General features: G+C 33.6%; 1 annotated feature.

Moving 5' to 3' along the window:
• Positions 12,791-13,085: an enhancer, noted in NCBI's record as "tiled region #3321; HepG2 Activating DNase matched - State 9:DNaseU". NCBI's record gives its function as "activates a minimal TATA promoter and a strong SV40 promoter by Sharpr-MPRA in HepG2 cells {active_cell/tissue: HepG2}" and the evidence as "EXISTENCE:reporter gene assay evidence [ECO:0000049][PMID:27701403]".

The following is a 21,633-nucleotide window of genomic DNA, read 5'->3' as shown; positions in this document are numbered from 1 at the left end:
TTGTGAATTAAATTTATATTAATTTCCTTTTTTCCTTTTTTGGTCAGTATTCTTTATTTTTTCACATTTAAGCCATCTTTAATAATAGTTAATCTCAGAAGTGGTGGTATAAAAAACGTTTCTTCTGATGACTTTTAACCAAAGAAGTGGAAAACAAACTTGGAGGAAAAATAAATAAAAGAGAGAGGTATTTTCAAGAAAATTTGGGGTTGTTTATAGCTTCATTGAGGTAGAAATGATAAATAAAAGTTATGATATTCAAGGTAAACAATGTGGTATTATAAATTGCCTATAAATTGTGAAATGATGATCACAACCAAGCTAATTAACATATCCATCACCTCACATATTTAGAATGTTTTTGATGATAAGGGTACTTAAGGTCTACTTTCTTAGCAAATTTCAAGTATACAATACATTATTATGAGCTATAGTCACTATATAGTACATTAGGTCTCCAGAACTTATTCATCTTGTAACTGCAAGTTTGCATCTTTTGACCAATGCTTTATTTTCTCCATTTCTCAACTCATGATAACCACCCATCTACTCTGTTTTTATTAGTTGGACACATCTAAAACTGAGATTATGCAGTATTTGTCTTTCTTGGGGGGGTCGGCTTTTTCACTTAGTATAATGACCTTCAAGTTCATCCATGTTGTTTTAAATGGCAGATTTTGTTCTCTTATAAGGTTGAATAATATTCGTGTGTGTGTGTGTGTGTGTGTGTGTGTAGTGTATGTATCACATTTTCTTTATTCATTTATCAGGGGACACTAAGGTTGATTTCCTATCTTTGCCATTGCCTGGTACATTTTTTAGGATACCTGCAAGTCCTCAAATCTGCCACAACCCACCATGTATCATAATTTTGAGATGTCTTTACTCAAAGTGAGGCATAGTCAGGCCAGAGGTTTTAGAATAAGATAACCCTTAAAAAACACATTTGGCTGTAACAATAATAGTTATGTGAACACAGTTAGACAATATGTAATATTTCCTAGGTTAGGTTTGTTTTAGTGACAATAAATTTTTCATATGCTTAACCTGCAGAGGACAAGTCTTGTTTCAGCTACTTAATGGCATATGCATCTCAAATTATCAATCCATGATTTTTTAATAAGGTCAGCACTAAGGCTGACATATTTCATTTAGACAGAGGAGATTCCTGAGGTCAACATGTGCCTGAAAAAGAGAAATTATCCAGCCAACTGAATTATGTGCAAAAAGAAGTCATTCTCCCTGCATCAATTTATTATCTGTCCAGCACCTTTCCTAAGCTACTTCAAGTCTGACACTTTTACTGACTTCAAAAGGAGTTTGGCAACATATTAGCTTTGAGGGAGCATGCAACCAGGCCAAGACATAGTACCTGCTGACATTAAAAGCAGCCTATGAGCCATATTTAAAAATAACTGTCTATAAAGAAGAGATAGCTACTTGTGGAGAGGAATCAAGAGCATGTACAAGGAAATTATATTTGGTAATTGATGAATTATAAAAGATAAATATTGTACATAATGAATATATGAAAAAGAACTACACCATTTAATTCATAACTTCATCTCCACGAGAGTTTGAGCGTAATAGTATTACTCATGAGGTGTTAATATAACTATAGGTGTATGAAGTGGCTCTGAGTACAGTGAGAGACAATTTGCTCTCATACTATGGCCATCAGTTTGTATTGTATTGTCTATGGATGGCCATCTATCTTTGAATAGGCACTTTTCTTTCCAGAGAAACACAGTTACACTATTACCTTCTGGGTAGAATACACATGCTAGAAGCTCAGGTTTTACACATGGGGAGAAGAAAAATGAGTAATAGAAATCAGTAATTAAGTGGGGACCTTCACAGCATTTCATATGTGTAGCATTTTGTGGAAGAAAAAAAAAGATTATTTGACCAAAATATTGTTAACCATTTAAATGGTTAGCACCATAGTGGTGAAATTTTAATTCTCCTAGCAAAAATGCAGTAAAAATAGTCTTGTTTTCTACAAGTCTGTCTATGAAGATCTACAAGTTCAGAACAGCTGAGAGTCACCTTAAATACACAAAGTTATCTGGAAAAAAATGGACAAAGAGATAGGAATGAACCAATGTATTATTGACTCCTTTGTTTACCCTTTCAACATAACCCATTCCCCTGCTCCTGGGGACCACTGCAAATGTCCCAGGATTCCTAATATTCCTCATTGTTAATTGTTGTTATTCCATGTTTTCTTTTTAAGTTTTACTGAGGTATAACTGATGTACAAAAATGTACATAATCAATGTATATATAATGTATACACTTTGATGAATTTGGACATATGTATATATCCACGATAACATCATCAAAATGCTGCTAAACATATCCATCACCTACAAAAATTTCTTTGTGATCTTCTGTGTGTGTATATAAAGTTTAACATATTTGAAAGTACACAATATTATGTAATTAACTGTAGGTACTGTTATATAGCAGATATCTAGAATTTGTTCATCTGGCATAACTGAGACTTTTAAGTTTTTAAAAATTATTCTTTTATTATTTTATTTTTATATTTTTTTCTATATGTATATTATTACACTTTAAGTTCTGGGGTACACTTGCAGAACATGCAGTTTTGTTACATAGGTATACACGTGGTATAGTGGTTTGCTACACCCATCAACCCGTCACCTACATTAGGTATTTCTCCAAATGTTATCCCTCCCCTAGCCCCCCATGCCCCAATAAGCCCAGGTGTATGATGTTCCCCTCCCTATGTCCATGTGTTCTCAATGTTCAACTCCCAGTTAGTAGTGAGAACATGCAGTGTTGGTTTTCCTGTTCTTGTGATAGTTTGCTGAGAATGATGGTTTCCAGCTTCATCAAAGGACATAAACTCATCCTTTTTTATGGCTGCATAGTATTCCATGGTGTATATGTGTCATATTTTCTTTATCCAGTCTATTATCGATGGACATTTGTGTTGTTTCCAAGTCTTTGCTATTGTGAATAGCTGCAATAAACATACATGTGCATGTATCTTTATAGTAGAATGATTTATAATCCTTTTGGTATATACCCAGTAATGGGATTGCTGGGTCAAATGGTATTTCTGGTTCTAGATCCTTGAGGAATTGCTACACTGTCTTCCACAATGGTTGAACTAATTTACACTCCCACCAACAGTGTAAAAGCATTCCTATTTCTCCACCTCCTCTCCAGCATCTCTTGTTTCCTGACTTTTTAATGATCGCCTTTCTAACTGGCATGAGGTAGTATCTCATTATGGTTTTTATTTGCATTTTTCTAATGACCGGTGATGATAAGCATTTTTTTTCATATGTCTGTTGGCTGCATAAATGTCTTCTTTTGAGAATTTTCTGTTCATATCCTTTGCCCACTTTTTGATGGTGTTTTTTCTTATAAATTTGTTTAAGTTCTTTGTAGATTCTGGATATTAGCCCTTTGTCAGACGGATAGATTGCAAAAATTTTCTCCCATTCTGTAGGTTGCCTGTTCACTCTGCTGACAGTTTCTTTTGCCGTGCAGAAGCTGTTTAGTTTAATTAGATCCCATTTGTCAATTTTGGCTTTTGTTGCCATTACTTTTAGTGTTTTAGTCATGAAGTTTTTGCCCATGCCTATGTCCTGAATGGTATTGCTGAGGTTTTCTCCTAGGGTTTTTATGGTCCTAGGTCTTACGTTTAAGTCTTTGATCCATCTTGTGTTGATTTTTGTATAAGGTGTAAGGAACGAGTCCAGTTTCAGTTATCTGCATATGGCTAGCCAGCTTTCTCAACACCATTTATTAAATAGGGAATCTTTTCCCTATTGCTAGTTTGTGTCAGAGTTTTCAAAGACCAGATAGTTGTAGATGTGTGGTGTTATGTCTGAGGGCTCTGTTCTGTTCCATTGGTCTATATATCTGTTTTGGTACCAGTACCATGCTGTTTTGGTTACTGTAGGCTTGTAGTATAGTTTCAAGTCAGGTAGCGTGATGCCTCCAGCTTTGTTCTTCTTGCCCAGGATTGTCTTGGCTATGCAGGCTCTTTTTTGGTTCCATATGAAGTTTAAAGTAGTTTTTTCCAATTCTGTGAAGAAAGTCAGTGGTAGCTTGATGAGAATAGCATTTAATCTATAAATTACTTTGGGCAGCATGGCCATTTTCACAATATTGATTCTTCCTATCTGTGAGCATGGAATGTTTTTCCATTTTTTTGTGTCCTCTCTTATTTCACTGAGCAGTGGTTTGTAGTTCTCCTTGAAGAGGTTCTTCACATCCCTTGTAAGTTGGATTCCTAGGTATTGTATTCTCTTTGTAACAATTGTGAATGGAAGACTACTCTTGATTTGGCTCTCTGTTTGTCTGTTGTTGGTGTATAGGAATGCTTTTGATTTTTTGCACATCGATTTTGTATCCTGAGACTTTACTGAAGTTGCTTATCAGCTTAAGGAGATTTTGGGCTGAGACGATGGGGTTTTCTAAATATACAATCATGTCATCTGCAAACAGAGACAATTTGACTTCCTTTTTTTCCTATTTGAATACCTTTTATTTCTTTCTCTTGCCTGATTTCCCTGGCCAGAAGTTCTAATACTATGTTGAATAGGAGTGATGAAAGAGGGCATCCCTGTCTTGTGCCGGTTTTCAAAAGGAATGCTTCCAATTTTTGCCCATTCAGTATGATATTGGCTATGGGTTTGTCATAAATAGCTCTTATTATTTTGAGATACATTCCATCAATACCTAGTTTATTGAGACTTTTTAGCATGAAGGGGTGTTGAATTTTCGTGAAGGCCTTTTCTGCATCTATTGAGATAATCATGTGGTTTTTGTCATTGTTTCTGTTCATGTGATGGATTACATTCATTGATTTGCATATGTTAAACAAGGCTTACATCCCAGAGATGAAGCTGACTTGATCGTGGTAGATAAGCTTTTTGATGTGCTGCTGGATTTGGTTTGCCAGTATTTTACTGAGGATTTTCACATCGATGTTCATCAGGGATATTGGCCTGAAATTTTCTTTTTTTGTTGCGTCTCTGCCAGGCTTTAGTATCAAGATGACGTTGCTCTCATAAAATGAGTTAGGGAGGATTCCCTCTTTTTTTGTTGTTTGGAGTAGAAACTATTTTATTTTTTTGAGACAGGGTGTAGTGTGTGCAGTGGCATGAACACAGCTCTCTGGAGCCTTGACCTCCTGGGCTCAATGGATCCATCGTCTTTAATTACTTCATCAGTGTTTTGTAGATTGTAGTACCTCATTATTGATCTTTTAAAACTATTTAAAATAAAATTATGTAAAATTAGATGTGAAACCTAATATCTGAGTGTCTGTTGGCATTAACTTTTGTATTGGTGTTTTTTATCTTACTGACAGAGACAGGAAAGAGCCAAATGCCAGGGAGGTCATTGTGCACAGGGGGCTTGACTAAACGTGTCCATGATGAAAAATTCTGTCCCTTAACACATGTGCAGAAAGAGAAATAAATCAACGTGGAGTGGCTCAGACTAAGGGTGCCCCTGCACACTGGGAGAATGGGTGGAGCTACTGGGAATTCACGCCTTATTCAAGGGGAGGAGCCCGGCCACTTCAGCTCATGTGTGGTGGCCTGGTACTCAGCCTGAGTGGTGGTAACCTGTTGACAGGACCTTCCCACTTTTTTTTTTTTTTCACTGACAGCTTTCTTTTAATAAATTCTGCCCTCCTTACCATTTAATGTGTTCATGTGCCTAATTTCTTCTGGCTGTGAGACAAGAACACGAACTTTAGCTAAACTAAGGGGGAAGAAAATCTTTCATCATTACCAATGATGTGTAAGACACGATAAGATAAAGCTCCTACTTCAGCACCTCTCTGTTCAAAGGCAGCCCTTGCAGCAACAGGTAAGAAAATTACAGAGTAAATATGATTATGTTTCTAAGAAGTAAAATTTAAGAAGATTGAATCCTGCTACCACATTAGTCCTAGGTTTTAACTAATTCAAAGGAATGGTAGCTTTATAAAAATATATTTTTTCCTTGAAAACATGTAGATATCAGTTTGGGGTAGATGGGTTATTTGTTAAAATATAGAATAAATCACTTTTAATAGAGTATCAGAAATAAAAATTTCAGAAGTTTATTTTTGCTTAGCTTTCTAAATAAGTCATATATGTTTTCCTAGGCGTAGATTAATTTAATGAGAACAGTTGTATCTTATTGCAATTAAAGACAAATGAAACACAAACAAAAATATTGAGAGAAATCAATTAAATTTGGGGTTCTCTAAAGTAAAATTAGAAACATTTTAATTACAATAAGGTGATATAAATACCCATTTAATAAGTTATGGGTAGATATTTAATATTTAGTGACTATGTTTTAAATGTTTTATTCAAAACACAGATCCACTTAAAAAGTAAATCTACTATCTAATAAGATATATTTCCATGTCAACATATTTAAAAAGCAATCAATATCTCACCTGACACCTCTCATTTTGTCTCAATTAAAATGAAATATAAGTCCACAAAAGTAATTTGAGAAATGGTTTGAGCAAAATAAATTCTGACAAACCCAAAAGATCACTGGTATTTGTCTTAAATCTTGTTACTGTGCAAATCTTTTTTCTGTAGCATAATATAAAAGTATCTATAGCACTACTTAATAGAAGAGAAAGCCCTTCCAAAATTAACTCTAAAGCACTGTTTTATAAAAAGAGAATAACATTTCAGTAAGCTTGGTTACAATTGTGATTTAGTGATTTTAACTTGAGAATCTGACATTAAAAGCAAGAAACTAAGGAAGAAGCCACCAGTAATCATGTTTTATTAAATGTAATATTTTTTCTATCTTCTAATTTTTTTATAGATTTTCTGCAGCTTAGTTTATACATCCAAAAGTGTGTTTTATAACATTCACACTCTGTAACATCAAATCTTACTTGGCAATGGGAAAGAGGTTATTTTCACATCTTCTTTGTCAGGAAGTAAAATAAGAAAAAAACTTTTAAAATTGATATACATATATATGGTTATTATTATTATTTTTTTAATACTGGAAATACTAGATATCAGATTTTGTATATTGTATACAATATACATTTTGTGTGCTGACAAATAAGCATTTCTAATGACAATAAACTTAGTTTTTACCATTTCTTGGTGTTAGACACACATTAAAAATTATAATTGGCTATTAATATTTTAAAGAGTGGTTAGGCCAGGTATGGTGGCTCACACCTGTAATCCTAGCACTTTGGGAGGCCGAGGTGAGTGGATTGCCTGAGATCAGGAGTTTGAGGCCAGACTGGGCACACGATGAAAACCCGTCTCTATTAAAATACAAAAAATTAGCTGGGCATGGTGGTGTGCACCTGTAGTCCCAGCTACTTGGGAGGCTGAGGCAGGAGAACTGCTAGAACCCGGGAGGTGGAGGTTGCAGTGAGCCAAGATCTCACCACTGCACTCCAGCCTGGGTGACAGAGCGAGACTCCATCTCTTAAAAAAAAATTAAAAGAGTGGTTATAAGAAATGGGAGACATAAAAGAAGAAAGAAGATGAAGACAAAAGAGATATTACCTATACAGCACACTAATATATATTAGTTTAGTGAATCTGCAAAATAACTAACTCAGTTTCTACAGAAGAAGTTTACGTTAAGTTAAATAACGGCTGCATGTGGTAAACAGTAAGCAATTTCAAGAGTAACTCAGATATAGACTAAATCCCAATTGTCCTACTATTGATTTTATGGTTTGGCAAACTATTTGATTCTCTGAGTTTTGACCTCATCAGATATACAATGAGATAAATAATGTTTGCATTAAAATTATATTAGAGAAGAAAATAACAAGTATAAAATGCTTAATACAATGTGTAGCTCATAGTAAATGATCAATACATGCATTTGTCTCTCTTTGCAATGCCACAGAACTTATATGTTGTAACATAAAAAAAATTTGAATTCAGAGATCTCTCCCTTTATTACCTATACTTAAGTAATCTATGGAGATATATATTTAATATTTATAATATGAAAGTGAATAATTACTGAATTATTTTATAAGTATATTTTAGAAGATATCTATAAATACTTAGTAAAGAAATCTTTAATTGTATTAGATATCTGAATTAATATTTTGCTAAACTTTAGAATCAATTAGAAATGTAAACATTTAGGTATTGATCAAACACAAAAATGCATTTATAATTAGTCCTCTATGAGTCAAAATTAATTATAACTTTAATAATAAAATAATTAGGATATTATCTAGAAATTATTATGTGCATTCGAATAGAAAATATTCGAAAGTGATAGAAATAGCATCTCCGTAAACCTCTTTACCAAAGCAACCCTGTTCTCACATTTCACAAATGAGACAGTTTCACAGTTGGAATGTTTTTAAACATTTAGGTAAAGTTATCCAGTATCACCCAATGAAGCCTACACATCTTCTAGCCACTGCATACCAGCCCTATGTTCTCTTTTAGACACTATTTTTTGAAAGTTTCTCACAGACACAAGATAACTCATGCTTTTAGTAATTAGCATGTTTATGGTAAAATTCATTACCAGAGTTTCCCAGGAATTCCTTAGACTCTTTACCTGCCAGACAGTTCCTTCTATGCAGATTAAAGAGAGGGCATTTTGAACTTTACAAGTATGTAAGATGTTGGGGGTAGTGTTTATAGAGAGAAAAGCTGTATATTTCAAGGAAATGTCATTAATTCAACAACAGATTTGGCATGGTATATGAAAATCAGTATGATTGTTCACACCCAGATAATATCACAGCCTCTGTAGTCAGAAGACTTGGAGTCAAGACCTAGGTAAGCATATAGTAACTAACAGATGTTACTCAATCACTGATACTCTGACATCCTATTTATTTGTTAAAAATGAAGATTTTTAAAAATCCCTGTTTTCCAGGTTTGTGAGATTCAATTACAGTAATGGTTGTAAAGGGCCCTGAAAGACAGTTTGGAAAACTCAGATCTCAAACACAGAACCACCTCTCTGCGATTAGGCCAAAGATATTTGATTCCTTTCCTTTGTGCCTTTACTTCCCCAAGTATAAATCAAGGGTTAAAATACTACTACTTCACATGGTTTTATAAAAATGAAATATGCTAATTACTGTAGGCAAAGAGCCTGACACTTAATAAGTGCTCAGTTAGTATTAGCTATTAAATTGTGTTATGAGGGTTTTCAGATTCCTCCTTATTTTCTACTCATTCATTCTCCAAAACAAACCTAAACAAAATAAAATAAATTGTTTATACACATATTTTTTCTTTATACTATATAGTTTCCTTAAGGCAGGGATCATTCAACTTTGTATACTCTCTACCAGCTCATAGAGTACTTTACATTATAGATATGCAATGAAATTTGAGAAGATTAATAAATATATGCATTGGCCTCACTGCCTAAAAATAACATCAGTGGAAATCCTTCTTTGGGTTCTTCTGATATGTAACTTTTATAGGACTCTAGCTCTTTAAAAAATTATTTTTGTTACATATTTTGTTTCAGATAATAAAACTAAATACATAAATTTACCTATAGCTTCTCTATTATCAGCTCATATCTGAAGAAATGGGATTTGTAAAAATATACAACTTAATAAAAGATACGCACAAGAAAATGAATTAAAAATCAACTTAAACCTTTTAAGCAATGACCTAAATGTTTGAAATATGAAATAAAAAGCATTGCCATACATCTTAGCCACCAATATAATTTTTAAATGGTGTTACAATTTATCTCTACCAGTTTTAAGTGTAGCTAACACTTTGTTTTGTATTATAGTCCATTAAAATATTATTCAGGATATGATCTAAATCATCCTTTTAGTTCTTCAGTACAAATGCTACAAAAATTGCATTTGAAATCCTGTGTAGAAATAAAGATCCTACATTAACAATGACAAATAAAGTAATCTGAGAAAAGCAGATACCAATATCTTGTATTTGTCTAAATAGAAATGAGAACATGTTAAAAATCATTTCAAGACAAAGAAAGGCAACAGAAAGTTATACAATTATTCATTGAATTCAGGTTTTCTTAATAGACAATTAAACTTGTCCAGGCAAAACAAATCCTAATATATGGTTTGAACATAATATAATGGAGCTAAACAATAGCCATAGACTTGCAAGCACAGAAGAGCCTTATAATAATATGAATGCAAAATATATGCTCATGTGGTTCAAAATGCAGGGTGTTAGAATTTTGAAACACTGAGCTGGGCATGAAATATCAAGAAAATATTTCTAGCTATATTTCTAAGTATATCTACAAAGCAGTTTGCAATGTGAGCAAAATAGTGCAAAGAAAAGAAACAGTAGACTGAAAATGAGGAAGCCTGCTTTCTAGAAGCCATTCTATTATAAAACACAGTAGAACCATGTCATGTCACATCCACTCTCTATCCCTCAGCCTCTTAAATACTCAAATTAGGAGTCTGGAGTGCATTGCCTTTAGGCAAAACTTTGATCATCTATTTATGAAAAATGGTTTGTGAATTAAAAGCTACTTGTTTCTTAAATAGTACCTAAGCCCACATGCTCCAATAGTTACCAATGTAGAGTAAAACCCAGAGAAACAAGGTAATTTTCATTATAGATAAATGCACATTGACAGAATTTTGACTTTAGGCTCTGTGTCGAAGAAGGTAGTTTGATTTAAATAAGTAGTACTGGAATTCATTAGTCTCTTTCTAGTACATTTTTAGAAAGAATTGTAATCTTTGATATTTTTAAACATAACATTACAAATGTGACCCATAATAAAATGCATTTCAAAATTATGATTTTTTCTGAAATGTAAAAAATGGCATAATTTTCTATTGCTGAACAGAATATTTTCTAATTAGAGATGTTCAGTCAATATTGCAATGCTAAGGCTGACCTAACAGAGTTATTTTGTCTCCTCCATCCTCCAATTTTTATGAGAATTATGTGCATTTCTCTGAAAGTCATTTGCAGAGGATAAAGCAACTCCATCTTGGATGTGAATCCACCATGTTAACTTCTCACTAACCCCTGTTCCAGAATGCTTATACACGTTCTATTTATATACTGTTATCATAAATCTCGTCCTCAAGATAAAACAACCTTGACCAAATCCCCTTCCCCTAGGCAGATGCACATAGCATTCTTACCTTTCCTTGAAGGGTCGACTTAAGTTGTCCCACACATCCCTTTCCTATGGCGTATAAGCCCTGCGTCTGGTGGGAAGTGGCACAGGGACCCACCATCTCTCTAGTGACCATTGAAGTCTATAGACTATGGCTCCTGTTTGTGAGTCCCTATTACATGTTTTTTTTCTGTTTGTTTGTCTGTTTGTATGTTTTCTGAGACACTGAGTATATTAACCTCCTTCTTTGGCCCCTCAGCCTTCGGGAGGTAGGTTGCATAGACTTGCTCCCTGTGGTACGTCACTTTTGCTAATTATTAAAGTTACTGTTCTAAAGAGATGTGAGGAAATAATTTAGATACTGAAATATCAAACTAAATATGAGTCTGATATGATAGTCTTTTTCACTAAGGAACTACAAAACAAGCTGACCATAAAATTAATTATATTTTAATAAGTCCCAAAGATAATAGCCTATTGAGGGTAAATCTGATAATATGACGTACAGGAGAAAAAACTGAGAAAATGGATACAACTAAAAGTATTGAACCCGTCGATTTTGGATGATTCTAATGGACTTTTGACTTGAAAATAACACGAAGAGATATTTTATTAAAAGTAAAATTTTGATACCACAAAATAGCTCATAGGCTACTATTTAGAGTTTTCCATTTAAAAATATTAAGGGCGATAGAAATCAATACAAATTATTTTATGTTAAACCAACAAATAATCTAGACAGTTTTAAAGATTAAGATTAAACCAACAAATCTGATTTGATTGCTAGGCCTCCTTTTAAGTATTTTGACTGGTAATTTCTGTTGTTCTTATTTTATTTCCTTAAAATATAAGTATTTCCTTGATTGCACAAATTATCAATAAATTTAAATAATATCTCTGTTTTTTAATACATAGTTGGAGTGTAGTTGCTATGGAAAGCTGTTTCACAGTTCACCAAAAAGTTACATGTATGGTTAGTGTATGACCTAGTAATTACACTCCTAGGTTTTACTCATGTTATTTTTAAACATATTAACACCATAACTCATATTTGAATATTTATATAAGGATTATTGATCATAGTCCAAAAGTAGAATAATGCAAATGTCCATCTACTGATGAATAAATGAACAAAATATAGCATATCTATTCAATGGAATATTATTCTGCAATAAAAAGAATAAAATACTGATTCACATTATGAGAGATGAATTATAAAAATGTATGCTAATTGAAGGAAGACAGTCACCAAAAGCTACATATTGCATTAATACATTAATGTGAAATGTTCAGAATAAAAATCTATGGATTCTAAAAGTAGATTCATGGTTGCCTACGCGTTGCTAGGTTTGGAGAAATTAATAGACAGTCACTGCTAATGGAAGTAGAATTTCTTGTTAATGTGATGAAAACTTAAACTTATATGGTTGAGGTAGCCCTCCTCACAAGTGGGCATTAGCTGCAGGGGTCTGCACGCAGACCCTGACCCAAACGACGGATGAATAAAACGTACATTGACATACAGATATTCTCTTTTGCCAGTCCAGCTGAGTGTCCGACCGCCTGCACACCAAGAGAGGTTTGTCACTGCGGCCAGCCCTGAATAGCTCGCACTCCAGGCATTTATTTAGTAAACAATTAACAACAGGAGCTTTGAGTAAACACACTGTCTAGTGACAGTGTGTGTGGGGATAATTAACGTGGTTAAGAGAGTAGTTCTACCAATGATTAAAGCTCAGGTACGAGGTCTAAAGTGAATACCATTAGAGGGTAATTTCCCTGGTTGACCTCCCCGGGAGAGGGCCACCCAGCTCAAAGGTTAATTAATGGAGGCAGGATAAACAGACTTACTATGGAAGCCTATCTTGTCCCTAGTATTTACCCTATGACCTAATGCATTAAGATAAGAGTTGGCTGCCTTCAGCCTGTTCAGTTATTACAAGCTATGTAACCTTTCGGTCTTCCAAAAGGTTTGTGACTATTCCCTATAACTTTCCCTAATATTTCCCTTAAATATTTCTGCCACCATCCTGAGTGAATCACAACATATGGTGGGGGCATATAAAAGTCTATGAATATACCAAAAATAAATTAAATTGTAAAATTTAAATAGTAAATTTTGTACTATGTTATATCTCAATAAAACTGTTAAAAAAAGAGAATTAAGGTCAAAATGAAGCTCCATAAATATCCCTATAGCTACCTATTGATTACATGAATCTGAATTTTTTGCTTGCCCTGATAATGGAGAATGCTATCAAGACAGTCTGATATGACAGTATCTCTGAGGAGGAATGACAAGACCAGTGACAGTTACTGAGAACTTGAGATATGATTTAATAATGGTCTTTTAATGGGAACTGAGGAGTTGTTGGATTATGATCAGGTAAGAATCATAATATGATCATCTAGGATTGGTGGATACAATCTTGGGGAAAATATAAAAATAAAACATTTTTGGCTAACTCAGATAATTCTCTCCACAAATGAAGAAAAGAAAGAAAGCAATATTAATTAGAGAATCAACATTAAGCCATGCTGTGATGTACATCACAGGCAACATGCTAATGAGGTTGCAAAGGAAAATGAAATCTCAACCATTTATGTAACCACACAGATATAATTCACTGCATACATGTTTTCAAGATATAGCACCATTTGCCACATATTCTTTCATAGTTCACCCTAACTTTACCTGATAAACAGGATCGCCATTTGTGTTAGATAATTTCCTTCATTTAAAGGAAAACAAAATTTTTATTTTTATGAAAAGCTTGAAGCAAGAACTGTAAGCTAAACTCGTCATGGTGACAGAAATGGGTCCTATCTTCCTTGATGTTTACATTTCAAAGAACATGGCTCCCAGACCCTTAAGGAAAACATTACTGAGTTGTAATGTTGGCAAGACCTTATTTAGCCTTTAAAAACATGTACATATATAAAAGAGATAAATAAATGATTTAGAATTATACATTTTCTTAAGGAACTCTTTAAAAAAAAAAGGGAGAGGACAAAAGGTCACTTTTCCTTTTGAAAACATGGACTTTTTAAAAAACCCTCATAGCACCAAAGAGGAATTTGTGGCTAGGAGTGAAAAGACTATTAGAATTTGAAGGTAGCAACCATCAGAAGAGCTGACATGTTTATTAAAGAGTTGATAAGCTCTAGTTCATTCCAGAAGCTTCAGGAATGAAAATAAAATTATTTTCCACTTTTCTATTCCTGAGTGAGTGTCCCCTGGAACAGAAATGTTATGCTAATAAACAGTGAAATAGTAATGTCAACTTAATAAAGTAATTCCTTAATTAGCAAACTGTGGCCTTTGGACCAAATCCTGCCTACAGCCTGTTTTTGTACATCCTACAAACTAAGAATGCTTTAATATTTGAATGGTTGAAAAAAACTTTAAAGAATAATATTTTGTGGCACATGAAAATATGCATTTCAAGTTTCAGTGTCCATAAATCAAGGTTTGTTTGTATAGTCACATTCATCCTTTACATGTTTTTTCTATGACAACTTTCATAGTGCAATGACAGAGTTGAGTAGTTGGGACTGAGACTGCTCTGCAGTACCTAAAAGACCCTCTACATCAAGCTTGTCCAACTTATGGTCCATGGGGCTCACGCAGCCCAGGGCAGCTTTGAATACAGCCCAGCAGAAATTCTTAAACTTTCTTAAAACATTATGCAATTTTTTTGTGACTTTTCCCAGCTCATTAGTTAGTTATCATTAGTGTTAGTGTATTTTATGTGTGGCCCAAGACAATTCTTCCAATGTGACCCTGGGAAGTCGAAAGATTGGACACCCCTGTTTTAGGTCAAATATAGTGTCCTGATTCAAACCCTACCTAAAAGTGAAGACGATGTGAAATCATTTTCGGGGCTCTTCATGTCTGTTTTATAACAACCTATCTAAATAAGCTTTAAAGTTCTGTAAAGGTAAGGCGAAATTATTTTTAGATTGAAAGTATTCAATATCCAGAGCTTCCAAAGAGACACACACTTTCTTGAATTGAATTGAAAAGGATAAACTGCATCATTTGCAGGGATAAACTAGAAGAATCCCTTCAAACTCAGTGAATGGGTAAAAGACAACAAAATCTCTGCTATAGGAAATGTATTGCTTATAGTAAGAAAAAGTAAGAAGATTAAAAAAAAAGAAAAAGACATTTCAGTCTAGAATGATGGATTATTAGTTTAAGAACCACCTACTGTTAAATTTTCAAATCTTTATACGCTATGTATTAGAAGCTGAACATAAATGTACACTTAAAAAAACTCATGAAGATGTATTAATAATAGTAAATTATAATCCAAAGTGTTGGTGCTGACATCAACAGTAAAGTGTATTTTTTAAAAAACATTGTCCTGAACAATACTGGGAAATCTTATTTTATAAAATGCCATATTTCCTGCAGCAACAATCAAAAACAAAATAAAACCTTTGTAATGATTGCTCTCATTTTCAGTTTTTCTAGAGTCCATTTAAACAGAATTCATTAATACTAAAAAATGTATTTTAAAGTACACTGATTTAAAATTTACATTGTCCATAACTAAACCAAGTAAGTTTCATTATAATATAATAATCATTCTATTTCTAAAATTATTATATTTTTAAAGGATACAGCAACTTTGGGCAGTAGCTTCCCAGCTTGAGACACACTCTTCCTTGATGGAATCTATTAGTACATTAAAGTGATTGCCTGTATCTGTTGTTAACACCTTAAAGCTCTGCAAAAGTTGCTACTTTATTCTCATGTAGAAAGAAAACATTTATTCCCGAGTGACAGAAGGGTAAGAGCAATTTATGTTACATATTTTGCTGAAACGACCTAATCCAATTTGGTTTTAAAAGAATAAGTTCATTTTATTAGTTGCCAATGAATAGATGTGGGCAAACGGTATTTCTACACAGCTTGCATACAAGGATATTAGGAAACAAATCCAAGACAAAAATCTGCCCCTTAGATATTAAATAAGCACTAGGAAGCACCCACAGAGTTCACACAACCTGTGTTTTAAGTTTCGTAAGATACCAGGCTGTGTGTGTGTGTGTGTGTGTGTGTGTGTGTGTGTGTGTGTGAATGTGCATATGTGTTTAAGACTTTGTTTTTGTTAGGTTTAGGTTGACAATAAAATTGAGAAGTGCACAGATATCCTATATTACCTCCTGCACCCACACATGCATACCCTCCAACTTTATCAGCAGTTCTCACCAGAGTGATACCTTTGTTATAACTGATGAAGCTACATTTGGTGCTCTTCATTCTGTAGGTTTGCATAAATGTATAATGACACATATCTAACATTATAATATCATTTAGAGTATTTTCAATGCCCTAAAAGTCCTATGCACTTTATCTATTCATCTCTCCCTCCCCACTAACTTCTGGCAAAAACTAATCATTTTACTGTCTTCTAAGTTTTGCCTTTTCCAAAATGTCATATAGTGGAATCACATAGTATGTAACGTTTTCAGACTTACTTATTTCATTTAGTAACATACGTTAGAGTTTCCCTAATATCTTTTAATGGCTTTATAGCTCATTTCATTTAGCACTTAATATAATATTCCATCATTTGAATGTCCCAGTCTATTAACCTACTGAAGTTCATCTAGGTTGCTTCAAAGTTTTTGCAATTATGAATAAAACTGCTATAAACATACATCTGTAGGTTTTTGTGCGGACCTGTTTTCAACTTCTTTGGGTAAATACCAAAGTATGTGATTGCTGGATTATATGGTAAGAGTATGTTTAGGTTTCTAAGAATCCATTCATTCTCTTCTATAATGGTTACAAAATGTCACAAGGTAACAGTATCATTGGCATTCTCACCAGCCATGAGAGTTCCTGTTGCTCCACATCTTCGCCAGTACTTGGTGCTCAGTGTTCTAGATTTGGGCCATTCTAAGTATGCAGTGGTATCTTATTGTTTTACTTTCCATTATCCTAACAATATATGATGCGGAGCATCTTTGCATATGCTTATTTGCCATCTGTATATCTTTTTTGGTGATATGTCTGTTGAGGTCTTTGGTTTGTTTTTTTTTAGTTTTATTCACATGTAATTGACAAAATTTTATAAACTTAATGTGTAAAACATAATGTTTTAATGTATGTGTATATTGGGAAATGATTACTCCAATCAAGCTAGTTATTATATCCATCAGCTCACTTAGTTATCTCTTTTTTGTTGTTGTTTGTGTGTGACAAGAACACTTAAGATCTACTCTCTTTGCAAATTACTACTATACAATACAGAATGACTAAATGTAGTCACCATACTGTACATTAGATCTCCAGGACATCTTCCCATTTTCCTCACCCCTCAACTCCTATTCACCAGCATTCTACTTTCTGCTTGCTTCTATGAGTTAGACTCACCAGCATTCTACTCTCTGCTTGCTTCTATGAGTTTGATTCATACGTAGGTGGGTGAGTTCATGTAACATTTGCCTTTCTGTGTATGGCTTATTTCATTTAGTATATTGCCCTTCAGGTTCATTCAGGTTGTCTCAAATGGCAAGATTTCCTTCTTTTTTAAGGCTGAATAATATTCTTGTGTATGGTGGTGGGTGTTTGTGGGGGGTAGGTAGGTGTGAGTGTTACACTTTCTTTATTCATTCATCCATTGGTGGACAATTAGGTTGTTTCCATTTTTGGGCTATTGGGAATAATGCTGTAATATGCATGAGATTACAGACATCTCTTCAAGGTAATGATTTCACACACACACACACACGCGCGCGCGCACACACACACACAATACATATATAAAATTTCCCCACAGTGGGGAAATAATGGCTTCTTCAATAAGTGGTATTGGGAAAACTGGATATCCACATACAGAAGAAATTGGACCCTTATGTCATATCATATGCAAAAAATCAAGTCAAAGTACTTAAAGCTTTAAATGTAAGGCCTGAAACTGCAAAACTATTAGAACACAGAGATAAAGCTTCTTGACATTGGTCTGGACAATTATTTTTTGGATATGACCGCAAAAGCACAGGCAATAAAAGCAAAGATAGACAAATGTGATTGTATCAAATTTAAAAAAGCTTTTGCAGAGCAAAGGAAGCAATCAATAGAGTGAAACTAAATCCTACAGTATTGGAGAAAATATGTGCACACCATACACTTGAGTCGGCCCATTTTTTAATTGGGTTATTTGTTTCCTTATTGCTAAGTTTTAATAGTTCTTTGCATATTTCAGGTAGCAGTCCTTCATAACAGTCCTTCCTAATAGGTATTTTGTGAATATTTTCTTTGAGTATATGGCTTTTTTTTAATTTTCTTCACTGTGTTTTGCAAAGCAGACATTTTCTATTTTAATAATGTCCAGCTTATCAATTATTCCATTCATGGATGTCTTTGGTGGTGTATCTAAAAATTCATCACTAGATCCAAGTTTAAGTACATTTTATCCTATCTTCTAGGAGTTTTATAGTTTTGCATTTTATGTTTAGATCTGTGATTTGTTTTGAGTTAATTTTTGTGAAAGGTGAAAGATTTGTCCATATTTGCATGTTTAAATGTAGATGGCGAGTTGTTCTAGCACTTCATGTTGAAAAGACTCTCTTTGCTCCATTGTATTGTCTTTGCCTCTTTGTAAAAATTCAGCTGACTCTATTTATGTGGGTCAATTTCTGGGCTCTCTATTCTATTCCCTTTTTCTGTTTGTCCATTCTTTGGTCAATATCACACTGTCTTAATTACTGTACTTTTTTTGTTTTGTTTTGTTTTGAGATGGAGTCTGGCTCTGTTGCCCAGGCTGGAGTGCAGTGGCACGATCTCGGCTCACTGCAAGCTCTGCCTCCCAGGTTCACACCATTCTCCTGCCTCAGCCTCCCAAGTAGCTGGGACTACAGGCGCCTGCCACCATGCCCAGCTAATTTTTTGTACTTTTAGTAGAGACGGGGCTTCACTGCTTTAGCCAGGATGGTCTCGATCTCCCGACCTCGTGATCCACCCGCCACGGCCTCCTAAAGTGCTGGGATTACAGGCGTGAGCCACCGCGCTGGGCCTTAATTACTGTACTTTTATTGTAAGTCTTGAAGTCAAGTAGTGTCAGTCTTCCAATTTTGTTCTCTCCTTCAAATTTGTATTACCTACTATAAATAATAAATATATATAAACTTAAACTCTATATGAGTTTATTAATAAACATATATATATGAATTTATTAAGGAGTATTAAACTCAGAGAATCACAAGGCCCCACAATTGGCAATCTGCAAGCTGAGGAGCAAAGAAGCCAGTTCGAGTCCCAAAGCTGAAGAACTTGGAGTACGATGTTTTAGAGCAGGAAGCATCCAGGATGGGAGAATGACGTAGGTTGGGAAGCTAAGCCATCTAGCCTTTTCATGTTTTTCTGCCCGCTTTATATTCACTGTCAGCTAATTAGATGGTTCCCACCCAGACTAAGGGTGGGTCTACCTTCCCCAGCTCACCGACTCAAATGTTAATCTCCTTTGGCAACACCCTCACAGATGCACCCAGGATCAATACTTTGTATCTTTCAATCCAATCAAGTTGACACTCAGTATTAATCATCACACCTACTTTAGGACTTTTGCCTTTTTGTATAAACTTTAGAATTTATTTGGTGATATCCACAAAATAACTTCCTGGGATTTTGATTGGAACTTCATTAAATCTGTAGATAAAGTTGGGAATAACAGACATTTAATAATATTGAGTCTTCTATTCCATGGACATGACATGGAATATCTCTTTGTTTATTTAATTATTCCTTGATTTCTTTTATCAGTATTTTGTAGGGTTCCTCATATAGGTCTTATGAAAAATTGGTTAGATTTATAACTATTTCATTTTTGTGTGCGCTATTTAAATGATATTGTGTTTTCAATTTCAGATTCTACTTGTTCATTGCTAGTATAAGGGAAAGTGACTTACTTTATACATTTACTTTGTATTCTGTAATTTTGTTGTAATGTTGCTATAATCACTTACCAGCTCCAGGAGTATTTTTGTCATTTTGATGTTTTACATAGATGATGATTGCAATTATTCTAATAAAAGACACAAAGTTGACTTAAATAATTGGGAAGACATAATATGTTTTTGACAAGAGAACAATTCTTTTTTTTTTCATTTGATGTTGAGAAGCGGTCTTGCTCTGTTTCCCATGCTGGAGTACAGAGGCACAACTATAGCTCAAAGCCTCAAATGTTGGGCTTAAGCAATCCTTCCCCTCAGCTTCCCTAATAGGTACAAATACAGGAGTACAACACGGCACCTGGCAGAGAACTCAATTCTTTAGATGTCATTTTGCCCTTACTAAATTTATAAATGTGGTGCAATTCCAATAAAAATGCTATGTATTTATCTCTTGGAACTATATTATATGAAGTTGGCATGAAAATAAATTAATAAGAAAAGATTGTCAAAATTTTGGGGAAAAGAGCAATGTGGGAGGCTAATCGCATCAAATATTTAAAACATTATAAAATCTCTATAGTCAAAGCTTTATGATATTGACATCTGGTAGAGAAATAGACCAAAGTTTATGTTTGAATAAGAAATCAAAAAATAGAATCATATGGTTATGAAAATTTAATAAATATTATCTCAAGTGATGGGGGCATTTTGGATTCTTTAATAAATTACACTGAGCTTCAAAATCAAATCAATTATTGTAAAAAATTAACCAGATTATATAAAAATAGTAAAGAAAAATGTTTTTATACCCTACTTAATTTTTGGCTAACAGTTATGCTTAGTAATATTTGAGCATGTGAATTTACTTTTGCAGCTATAACTTACATGAAATCTAAATACAGACTATTTTTCTAATTTAAGGATAGCTTCCAAATTGAGATGTGCTATATTTCAATGTGTATTCCAATACACATTGAATGTCTAAATATGAAAATAACTATAAAAAATTCATTAATATTTTTAAAAGTGATTCAAAATTTAAATGCTAATATTTTGAGTTTATTGGTTTAAATAACATATATTAATAACATTAATTTTACTTTTTAAACTTTTATTAATGATGCCACCAAAACTGTTAAATAATATGGTGTTTATTATATTTTTACTGCACATCACAACTTTATTTAAAAATAAATCATATCACTAATGGTAACCCATATCACATTTCCAATGTTTTAGTTGATGAACTACATATTTGGCCAATAAAAACTAATTTCCAATGTTCATTCTGTTATTATGAAAGACACCAGTGTTGATTGAGATAAATATGGTCAAGGTATAGATAGTAGCTATCAGAAACATTTATCTTTGTGGTCTTTGGATTAAATGCTAGCTGGTTACCTCTGGATTAGAATTTGTGATTAGCACCTCGCTTTTTCTAGAATATGGTTTAAACAAACACATATATTTGTACAATTATGTTTCTGTAGAAATACTTTAAGTAACTTATAGGTATTGTAACTGCTGTAGCCCCACTTGAAGCACTGCGATTTAATATGATGAATGCTGGCAATAAAACTTTAAATATGTGTACTAGTCTGTTCTCACACTGCTATAAAT

Source organism: Homo sapiens, chromosome 12 (assembly GCF_000001405.40).
Source record: "Homo sapiens chromosome 12, GRCh38.p14 Primary Assembly".
Taxonomy (NCBI): Eukaryota; Metazoa; Chordata; class Mammalia; order Primates; family Hominidae; genus Homo; species Homo sapiens.
The sequence above is the reverse complement of the archived record's forward strand: the minus strand, read 5'-3'. Positions and strand labels throughout refer to the sequence as shown.